At 36.0% G+C, this 12,032-nt stretch overlaps 1 protein-coding gene across 25 annotated transcripts in view, besides 1 other annotated feature; it reads left to right on the top strand.

Moving 5' to 3' along the window:
- LRRC4C (leucine rich repeat containing 4C) overlaps positions 1-12,032 on the top strand; it is a 1,345,454-nt gene that overhangs the window by 1,230,386 nt on the left and 103,036 nt on the right. The gene's annotated exons all lie outside the window — the stretch shown is intronic.
- Positions 1,652-2,153: an enhancer, noted in NCBI's record as "NANOG hESC enhancer chr11:40248664-40249165 (GRCh37/hg19 assembly coordinates)". NCBI's record gives its function as "activates a minimal SCP1, AML or CMV promoter by ChIP-STARR-seq in primed H9 embryonic stem cells {active_cell/tissue: H9 hESC(primed)}" and the evidence as "EXISTENCE:reporter gene assay evidence [ECO:0000049][PMID:30033119]".

The following is a 12,032-nucleotide window of genomic DNA, read 5'->3' as shown; positions in this document are numbered from 1 at the left end:
CATAAGTGAAAATGAAAAGTTTAAATGACTTTAAAATGTGGGGTTTTAAATAGTATATTGCAATAGTTACAGAGGAAAAGGCTGTGTAGAGGGTGAGGAATAGATAAAGAAGACAATTATTCCTTGAATAGGTAGAAAAAAGAGAAGATTAAATTTGCTTTGAATATTTCTCAAGTAAATGAGTTATTACTTTCTGAGTTCCCAAGTGACTGCTTTTTCCCTCCCTTTGTAAAAGAATTAAAACTTCTGATGTGCCTTAATATTTCACATCTTGTTCGGTCTGTGCATCCTGATCTGGCAAGATAGCCTGACATTGTTGGCAAACAGTGGTGTCATTTCAATATACATATTCATTGGTCCTTAGCTAAAATTAGGTTTGCTGAGTAAATAGATTTTGTACAGCCAACCTAAACAGATCACTTCCCAGGATGCCAAGGGAAAACACTGTCAGTGGAACTTACTTCATACTTTATCAACATGTTATCATATTTACCAAATGAGAGAAGAAAAAACTGGACCAAACGAAAAGCTGTGATCACAAACATAAACCTCTTGAATGCAGACAAGCGTCCTATATTTGAAAAGATGATTTGTGAGCATTCTTCCACAAGCAAGGGATCATTGTTAGTGGATGCTTATAATTCATGGTGGAGCGCTTTAGGAAAATATGCCTGCTAGTCCTTATGCTGCATTTATTCTGCTTTCTGTAAACCAGATGAATGTAGGATTATTTGTATAGCATAATAGCTTTCAGCATGGAAATAGATGGAAAGTTTATTACCTGTTTCCTCCCTTCCCTTAGGAGAGATTTTTTTTTTTTTACTTTGAAGTAAGATTCTCATAAAAAGGCTGCACATGACAGTGCATCTTGTAGTTTTCTTGGAATAAAGTCCAAACTATAGTCCATTCTGCTTTGCCAATTAATCTGGAAGCTACAGAAACAATGGCAAATGTGAGGATAAAAATTCAATGGATTTTGCCTCACTGGAAGAATGCAGTACTTCTCATGTGGAGATTATTCAGTAAATATTACAGGCTTTCTGACATTGCTTAGTTGAGGGTTACGTAACTGTAACTCTCTGCTAGCTAATAGAATTCTATTTAGACTAGATGATTGAAGGAGATGAGAAAGCAATGAGCTATGAGATAGATAGGAGGTAACAGAAAGAGAAAAAGCTTCTGGCTGGAGTGTGGAGACCCTGGAGTCTGAAGGACATGGATTTGAATCTTTCCTTTGACTTTTACTAGTTATCATGTCTGTCAGCTTCAGTTTTCTCTTCTGCAAACCAGCAATCATAAACTGTCATGCAGATTGCTCTCTGGTTTATGTGGGTTAACATATGACTCATCATTCTCTTCACCTAGCAGGCATCATGTCCACTCTGAGTGGTAGATCTTTTTCCTCTTCATAGCACCTCCTTTTAAAAATATTAAAAATTAACAATCTATGTTAATAAGAAAATCAGGTTCCTTCATTTTCAAAGAACCATGTTTAGGAATCTGTGATTTTCTATGGTACTTTTTTTTCCTTGTACTTTTGTTATCTTTCCTCCTCTTTTTAGCACCCATGGTTTCTACAGTTTACATAACCATAACCCTCTGCTCTCAACAAGGAATAATTGAATGCAGGGGAGTCATCATGCATTCGGATGTGACACTGCATACCCTCCATCAGCCTAAGACTTTTCACCTCTTTCCCTTTCCCTGTGTTTCCCTTTCCCTCCTCCCCTCTCAGAAACAAGCCAACCTATGCTTCAGCTCTATGACTTTTTGAACCAGATACATACATAAATATTTCGGGGGGATGAGTGTCAGTGGTAAACTTACTGACCTAATTCTAACTTCACAAACAGGCTGTGGTTAAAGGAAGAGAGAATAGAGATACAGGTAGGCTAAAAACTGTCATCATCATAACAATCATCTTCAAAGGAGCATCACCTACTTATGCAGATTGAGAGAGATAAATATAGGATGTTTTACCTGATGCTCATAATCCACTGGGAGGAGAGGAAGGGGAAGATGTATTTGATTTAATCAATTTTAACACCAACTTCATTTGACAAAGACTCCCATCATAACAATTACACACCTCTCCATTCTAGTTTCCCCATGCAGTTCATTCTCAGGATGTTCCCTTTCTACACTCTTGCAGGGAGAACACTCTTTGTGTGAGTGGCTAGATTCTCAGTGTGCTGTGTTTCAAAGTTAATATCATATTCTGGCACCATATGGGTGATGATAGAGAAAAACAGCCTTTGAGGTCTCACCTTTCAGGAGGGGAGGATGTGAGATTTAATTAATGAATGATGTAAGATCTTCCAGCATCCTGAGATAAAAGACTCTTTGTAAAATCAGAGAACTGCCAATTCCCTAGTCTAAGTGAATACCTGCTGAGCTAACAGGCATTTAAATAACTATTGAAATGCAAAATATGCAGCTTGTATATGTACATATGTATATATGCGATATAAACTACATTTTAATCCTAGAAGATAATTTAAGCTGTCCCCTCAGGTTACATCTTTAAAAACTGAGGCCAGAAATGGATTTTCTCAGGATCATAGCGCTTATTAGGACCAGATGCCAAAACAGAACTCAGATTTCTTAGACCCAGTGCTCTGTGCAACATGTAAGATGGCCTCACTATTGATGTTCTAGATTTAATCTACGGAATCTGACTAAGAACTGGCCTCAGACCACTTTCAAGCATAAGCAAGGTTAGTAATGTTGTATGAAAGATCACAGATTATTTTTCATCTTATTGGGCATACAAGAAGATATGGGCTTAAAGCCCAATCTGTGCTAGCAAAATATTATTGGCAACAATCCATGCCATTTGCCAAGGCAACAACTGCATTCTGGGATCGAGTGGAGTTTAATGTGATGCTGTGGTGGTATTGAGGCTTTGTAGAAAATTGGTCATAGGAAGTATATAGAGCCTTTCTGTATAGCAAACCAGAGGAAAGACCCAATAGTGAACGTATTGGCCTAATACTGATCTAGCTTATCATTGTTGCCGATATACTAGGAGACTCATCTGAGTCATAGTGGAATGAGCTTAAGACTTTGAACAAGATAAGTTGAGATTAAACACCCACTTTGGTATTCTCCTTACTAACTGCATGATTTCTGGCAAATCACTGAACCTCTCTGAGCTTCAATGTACTTTTTTATAAAACTGGAGTAATAATTTCTAGATTTTGTGGTTTTAGGGAGAATTATATAAGATAATTCAGGTAAAGTTGCATTGAATAGTGTTTATCACATATCTATGTAGTCTCTCAGTTAGAAGTGTAGTATTTTGAATCTAAATCTAAAGAAAGATGTCAGTAAGAATTGGGAAATATAGGCTGGGCGTGGTGGCTCACGCCTGTAATCCCAGCCCTTTGGGAGGCCGAGGCGGGCGGATCACCTGAGGTCAGGAGTTCGAGACCTGCCTGACTAACATGGTGAAACCCTGTCTCTACTAAAAATAGAAAAATATTAGCCGGGTGTAGTGGTGGGCACCTATAATCCCAGCTACTTGGGAGGCTGAGGCAGGAGAATTGCTTGAACCCGGGAGGCGGAAGTTGCTGTGAGCCGAGATCGTGCCATTGCACTCCAGCCTGGGCAACAGAGCGAGACTCTGTCTCAAAAAAAAAAAAAAAGAGAGAGAGAGAGAATTGGGAAATATATTGGGCGTTTGCTGTGTAGAAAGCAATCCTCCAGAGATGAGGAAGGAAGTGTTTATACAACCAATTAGAACATCTGTATCTTCCACTAGTTAGGTAGCTTCACTCAAATATGATAGTCACACTTCCAGATATTACCATACTTACCTCACATATAAGTGGCAAAAGCCCGTTTGAAAAGGTGAGACCAAATGAGGACAATAGAACTTAAGATGGTGGAAACTTTATAGGAAAGGTCCATTTTCCCTAGCTCACCTTGTTAAATGTTTTATTTTTTTAAAATTTTTCTTGGTTTCAGAGTCAGCTTAATTAGTTAATGTTAAAGTCTCCAGAGGCCACATCATCCCTGTCTTTGATTTTTGAATTTTTTTAATGGAGTTCAGGCCAATTCACGACAAAAGTTTTAGCTATTCAAATAGCTCATGTCTGTTTCTCTAGGAATATTCAATTTAGGCTATTGTTTTAGGTGGCTTCAACTGTCTAGATAATTCATGTTTTTATGCAGGCAGCTTATAGGTATTCATTTCCACAAAAGTTTTTACTGGTCTCTTCATATTTTACAGTTGCTTTAGTCTTAGTCAATAACTGTGGTCTATATAGCAGCTTATTATGGGTTATTGTAGTAACTCTTTTATTTTAAGAAGAGGGGATTGACTTCTATTTGTTTAACATTGTTTGGGTAGATTTCTGTCTGACAGCAGAGGATGGGAAGTGAAATGACTTTTGAAAATATTTCAACTTTATGAAGCTATGAGAGTCAAATCAGTTAAAGTAAATAAATGGATATCACAAGTCTTTATTGTGTCATTGATGACTCCAATTAAGAATAACATTAATTTATTCAGTGCCTATTTTTGTCACATTATTCTTAGATGTTCTCCATGCAGGCTAAGCATTTGACATACGTTATCTCATTTAACCTCAACAACAAATCTGTAAGGTCAAAAGTATTATTTCAACTTTAGAGATGAATCAATAAATAAAGGCCTTGAAGAAACAGTAGGCTATTTTCTCATATACCTATAGATAGTGAGGAAAAGAACTGAGACTAAGAATATGGTTTATCTTGAGTCTAAAGATTGTGATCTTTGGGCTATGTTGCATTTTCTTTGTGTTAAATTGTATTTGTCATATTTTATTTATTGTGGGCACCACACGTCTTGAAAGGTGTAAATCGGAGAACACTGAAAAAGTCAGGCAAATAATGAAAGAATTGGATTTGGGGCATATACAGATAGATTAAAAGTTATTAAATAAAGCCCAAGTTGTGGGGAGGGGTTTTAAACACACACATGATAAAAGATATAAATGCTAGGTGCAATTGGAATTATATATAAACCAGATCAACATTATATAATAAGGATTTTAATGAATGTGGAGGCTATTGAGTATTTGACAGCCTCTATAGAATAAAAAGCTATTGGATTTTGAAACTCATCCCGTGGGAAATATTGGAAGCTCAATCACTTGAGGAATAAAAGCTAAATTGGATAAAACATATCTCTAATCTCCAAAATGATCTCTCTGTGCAAAATGCATGCACAAACACACATACCATTCAAAGGTACTTTTAAGCTTTACAAACTACATATCTCAGTGCATTTAAATAATAGTCTTAATCTAAATAAAGAAAACACTTAAAATGAAAAACCTTTTTAAAAATTAATTTGCAGTAGAAACAAAACTATTGAAGGATAAATTGTAGAAACTGAAGATTCTTTACAGTTAGATGGGAAACATGCAAGTCATTTAAAAATAATTAGTTCTGCAAAAGTATACATGAATGGAAGGTCTTGGAAAGGAGGCAAAGAATTAATTTCCCCAAAGACGCTGCAAATAAAATTGTGGTTGGCACTTTTCATTCTGCAGAAACACCTTTTATTGGTATTTTGTCTGTTCCCTTGGGTGACATTTTAAAATAGTGTGTGCACTAATGATTGTCCAGTAACACAAATGAGAAAGGCAATTTTGAAACATTCCACTCTGGACAGACACTCTGAGCCCAGCCTTGGTTGGTCTCTTCTTAAGGAGGCCTAAAAATAAATTGCAAAAGTAGCTATTCAGACCTCTGTTAAGTGGGAGTTTCAGGTTCTGCAGTGTCTTTTTATCCTGTCCAGTGCTCCTGGATGCTCATTATTTAGCAATGAAAGTGAGGATCATGACATAGAAAGAGGCCATTCAATTGCCCTGACATGTTTCTTTTTGTCGTTTGCTGTAGGTCCCTGAATCACACTAGCCCTCATGATCTCTTGCTCCATGTTCACTTAAGTTCTAGTGTCCTTTCTCCTACTGATTTTTAAAGGCTTCTCTATGTATTTAATCTCTGGTGCCCCAACCACTTCAGGCCTCAGTGGCTTTGCTGATTACATGATAAGAAGTGATGCTATTTTTGCCATGTTAACTAGTATCCACTGGACTCAGGGAAATATATCATGATTTCCCCATTGCAAACATAATAAAGAATGGACCCATTACCCTGCCATTCAAAGTCTTTTATAATATGGACACAGTCTATATTTCTAACCTTTTTTATTTTTAGTATATTTCTTATATTTTCTTTTCTATATTTCTTAACCTTTACTTACATATGCCTTTGCTCCAATGAGACCGCTCACTGTTCCTGAGCTTAATGCTTGGCCACTTTCCTGCTCTTGCTAAAGTGTTCCCTCTGCCTCTACTGTCTTTCCTATTTCTTGTGTTCTCTCTGTTCTATTCACATTTATCTGACGATCGAAACTGTATTATTACCTCCTAAAAACATCTCTTGATCTTCCCCCACTAAATGAGACCCTTTCCCACTCTAAGCCTGCATGGTGCTTGCCTGGAATCTTCCCTGTGGAGTCATCCTAATCCACTTTGAGCACTCATTTTGTCACCTAAAATTTCTATCACAGCAGTTTTAACATAGAAGGTGATGGATAAATACTTATTGAATGTACAGGAATTATTTCTTTGAAATCCACTGCTTTATTCAAGTAAAAACTGAGTTCAGAAGCAATCCAAAATGCCCAGAGGTAGAGAAAATAGGTAAATGTGTTATAGCACATCAATACATGGACTATGCTGCAGTAATTAAAATTAAGTTTATAAAGAAGATTTAATGCCTTGGGAACATGATTATGCTAGACAGTAAACTCTTAACATCCACAAGGAATTATTTCTGTTCCCTTCAGAAGTCTATGAATTTTTAATAATAGCATAGTAATAGTAGCTAACTCTTACTGGGTATTTTTAATGTGCCAGGGCATTATGAGTTGTCCTCTATCTTATTTAATACAAACAAATACATGGGGGCTCAAAACAGTTAAATGATTTTCCCAATAGCAAACACTTTAAGCGAGGCCATGAAATAAGGTGACTAAAAGGAAGGATACTGAAATTAGAACTCCTGAGTGTCAGTCATGGGGGCTCCATCACCTGCAAATTACTTGCCGTTACTGGGTAGCTGTTTTGTTACTATACAATGGAGTTACAACAGTTGTGAGAATCAAACATGGTAAGTAGGTACAGTACTTAGCACAATACCTGGAAATGGGAAAGCTGTAGGAAAAAATAAGCTATTTGTATATACAGAATCTAGTATTGTAGCAGGACGAGCCGCAGACAAAACTCCTCAGACACCAAGTTAAAGAAGGAAGGAATTTATTCAGCCGAGGGCATCGACGAGACTCCTGTCTCAAGAGCCAAGCTCCCTGAGTGAGCAATTCCTGTCCCTTTTAAGGGCTCACAACTCTAAGGGGGTGCACTTGAGAGGGTCGTGATCGATTGAGCAAGCAGGGGGTACGTGACTGGGGGCTGCATGCACCGGTAATTAGATGGGAACAAAACAGGATAGGGATTTTCACAGTGCTTTTCTATACAATGTCTTTAATCTATAGATAGCATAACCGATTAGGTCAGGGGTCAATCTTTAACTACCAGGCCCAGGGTGTGGCGCCGGGCTGTCTGCTTGTGGATTTCATTTCTGCCTTTCAGTTTTTACTTTTTCTTTCTTTGGAGGCAGAAATTGGGCATAAGACAATATGAGGGATGGTCTCCTCCGTTAGTATTATACCTGGCTAAATAAGTATCTGTGGACTGAATGAAGAAATGGAAATGGTATCTAAACCCAAATGTGACTGGCATTCTTCACTGAACTCTCCTGCCTCCCAATAGCATCTTCACCATTGATGTCAATTACTGCAAACATAGCAACAACAAAACACATTGAGTTCCAAATTTTGGGCAATCCGATAGACTGATCCGTCAGTTTAAACTATTCACATTCCCTGCATGATTCTAATTTGTCACTTAGAAAAATACAAATCATTACAAGTCAAAGACATTTAGAATAAAGTAAAAACAGTTGAACATGTGAATGCCAAGGACTATTGTAGTGTTAAGGGGAGAAAACAGAAAGTACATTAGAGATACATAGGGTAATAATTGTGTATTTTAAAAATAGGGTTGAACAGCACTCTGGGAGGCCAAGGTATGCAGGTCACCTGAGGTCAGGAGTTTGAGACCAGCCTGACCAACATGGTGAAACCCCGTCTCTACTAAAAAAACAAAAATTAGCTGGGCATGGTGGCCGACGACTGTAATCCCAGCTATTTGGGAGGCTGAGGCAGGAGAATCGCTTGAAGCCGGGAGGTGGAGGTTGCAGTGAGCTGAGATTTCATCACTGCACTCCAGCTTGGGCAACAGAGTAAGACTCTGTCTCAAGAAAAAAAAAAAAACCAAAAACACAAAAATAGGAAATAGGCTGAAAAAAAATTTTAAAATGCACCAAAATATTAACAGAGATTGTTTTTGTGTTGTAAAATTATGTTTCCCTTTTAAAATAGTTTTTAATATTTTTGTGTACTGTTTAATATTTTATTAAGTTTCATTCACAGTAAGAAAAAATATTATTTTAAAAACTCAGGTCTTCAAAAGTTAAAAAAATGAATTTATTAGCTCTAACTCTAGAGCATTTTAAGCTTAGATTCAGTTTGAAAACTGTTGCTTTTGCCAACAAGATGGATCTTTAATATATTTTACATGATTCTGTACAGTATTGACAGTAATGAATTCAAACTTCAGAAGCACTCTGCAAGGTCAATCAGAGAGGGCAGGGATCACTCATATTTAGGCCTTCATTCTAATGAATATAGGTAGGAATAAAAATGATTTTTACAAGGCAATCGCATATCTATGCTTATAAAACCAAATAGATTGACTGATGGCCATTATCCAGTAGTAATCTATCTGTATTTATTATAACATATATATGAAAAGCCTAATCAAATGAAGTGCTCAACTCTAAAACTTTCATGACAGTTAACAATTTTTGGGAGGTGTAGGAGTCGACAGACTTTTCTGTCATAAATCTTGACATATGTTAGTGATTATTACTCTGCACAGGAGATAAATGATAACAGGAAGTCATAGTCTCAAAAGGTTTACCATTCATAGGTATTTGGACAATTATAAGCAACAAATAAATAGCCTGGTGAAATACAACTGAGGATAATTTGGCATGTTGAAATTCCCTCTAAAGTGAAGTGATGCAACTGCTTTCTTATTTCTGATATTTATTAAAAATAAACTTCACTGTGTATATTTAACTTAGGTTATACATGATGTTATGGGATGCATACAGGTTGTAAAAATGTTACTACAAAGAAGCAAGTTAACACATCTGTTAGCTCACATAGTTACCCATTTTTTGTTTTTATGGCAAAAGTAGCTAAAATCTACTCATTTAGCATGAATACTATATACAGTGCAATTTTGTTACCTTTAGTTCTCATGTTGTAGCTTACAACTCTGGACTTAGTATTCATCCTACATATTTGCAACTTTGTATCCTCTGATCTATATCCACCCCCCCAATTTCTTCCCCCTCATGCCCTGCCCCTGATAATCACTGTTTTGTTCTCTATGTCTGCATATTTGGATTTTAAAATCCCACATGTGAGATTGTGCAACATTTTCTGTGTCTGGCTTATTTCACTGAGCATAATGTCCTCCAGATTCATCCCTGTCATGGCAACTGGCAAGATCTCTGACTTTTTAAAGGGAAATAATGAATGGTTATGTTTCAATCAATTTACTCATTTAACAGGTATTTATAGAATATCTCATACGGGCCAAGGATTGTTCTAAGTACTCGGGATAAAGCAGCAAACAAAATCAACAAAAGCCCTGGCCACTTCTGTGCTTAGAAACGTAGGGTAGACATGGGTGGATTGGTAGAAGGATATATTAAAGAAAACAAACAAATATACAAAGTGTATACGTGTCAAGAACAGCACTGTCCCATAGAAATTTCCTCAGTGATAGAAATATTCTATAGCTTTGCTGTTCAATATAGTAGCCACTGGCTACAGGTGACCATTGAATACTTGAAATAAACCGAGTGTGACTAAAGGACTCAATTTTAAGTTTTGTTTTGTTTCAATGAATTTAAATTTCAATTTGAATAGCCACATGGGGCTAGTGGCTACCGCATCTGAGAATGCAGATCTAGATAGTTATAAAAGCACAGAGTGTATGTGAGGGATGGGCAAGGCATAGAAAAGTGATTGCAATTATAAATAGAGTGGTCAAAAAATGCATCTTGAAGAGACATTTGAGCAAATAACAAAAAGAGGTGAAAGAGCTAGCCTTGCAGATATTTAGATGAAAATTGTTTCTGGCAGAGGGATTGGGAAGTACAGAGATCCAGAAGTGGATGCCATCTGGCTTGGAAGAGTCATGGAGGCCAGTGTGGATGCAACAGAGTGAGTGTGTGGAGAAAGGTAGGAGATGAGACCAGAAAGGCCATTGCCAGGGTGGGGAATCAGGAACTCTACCCTAGGTTTGGATGGATGGATAGATGGATGGATGGATAGATAGATAGATAGATAGATAGATAGATAGATAGATAGATAGATAGATTCTTTATCATTCTTTAGCCATTCTTTATGGCAATAGATGATAGATAGATAAATAGATACATACATACATACATACATACATACATACATACATACATACATACATACATACATAGATTCTTCATCTCAAGTTTCACAATTTAGAAACTTATGGGTCTCTTAGTTCCTCTGACGATCTTTGTTGATGCGGAGGCTGGTTAGAATATTTTACAGAAACATATTCTTATTTCAGATTCACTGAATCTAGAATTTTAAATGTTCTGTGATTCTCTAAGTAGCTCTTGGACTTGCATTTCCCCCATCACATTGAGCAACATTTATGACCATAACCCTTCTTAGGCCTCTTCTTGCCCTAGCAAAGTTATTCTTTTATTTTATTGGGATTGAGTTCACTTTAAAATTCAAATGTAGTGGAAACATGTTATAGGAGAAAATTTCCCAATTTTCATAGGCAGATAATTCTGTAAAATTAATGAGAATTATAGGTCATCATGCTAAAGGAGATCTGAATGCAAAACATTTTGGGATAAAAAACATTAGTTATATAAAACTGCACAGGATGTTAAGGAAATTTTAAGTATTCAGATCTATCTTGAATTTCATCTCACTGAAATATACCTGTCACATTATAAACCTTCTCAATTATATTGACACTTAGCCACAATATAATGGACTTTTATTTGAGATTTTGACTTTTTCTATGACTTCATTTTTAAAACGAATCTGATTGCTTTGCAGGGATATTATAATGCCCCCTTTCCAATGTTTATTTTTAATCAAGAAAATGTTTAAGCAAGGCTGTAGTTTTTTCAATTAAACTTCAATAATTTGGAACTGCCATTTTTCAATTTACTTTTCAAACTTTGTATTTATTTTGTTAGCTAGCTAGGTCATTTGTAAATAGTCCTTACTAACAGATGGAAAAAGATGAGAAAAGGCACTATTAATTGGGTGCCTAATATGTGCTGAGGCTTAAAAACAGTCATATTATCTGTCATTTATTGCATGACACTGAATAAATTTACTGACTGAATAATACAATGATGAAGAATGACTGTTAACATTATTGTTTTATACATACATACTATGCATTGTAAATGCATTTATCTCATTTAATTTGTATACCAGATTGGCAAGTTCATGAGTAATGCTTTCATGGTAAAGAAATTAAGGAGATGCAGAAATGTATCTAAATATACACAAAAGTAGTACGTGATAGAATCAGGACTCAATCCAGAGCCTTTTGACTATAAAAATCTATGTCTTTTTTGTTACAGTCTTTGTCTGTAATAAAAATTTGCTAATACCTGAAAAATAATATGTTGCATATTGGTTTTGCTATTTACTAGCTGTATTTACTATTTCTTACTAAAGTTTATTAATGTTGCTAGACTTTAATTTCCTTAGCTATAAACTTGAGATATTAATATTACCTATATTATAAAGTTATTATATTACA

This window comes from Homo sapiens, chromosome 11, assembly GCF_000001405.40.
Source record: "Homo sapiens chromosome 11, GRCh38.p14 Primary Assembly".
NCBI lineage: Eukaryota > Metazoa > Chordata > Mammalia > Primates > Hominidae > Homo > Homo sapiens.
This window is presented reverse-complemented; position numbering and strand designations above follow the sequence as displayed.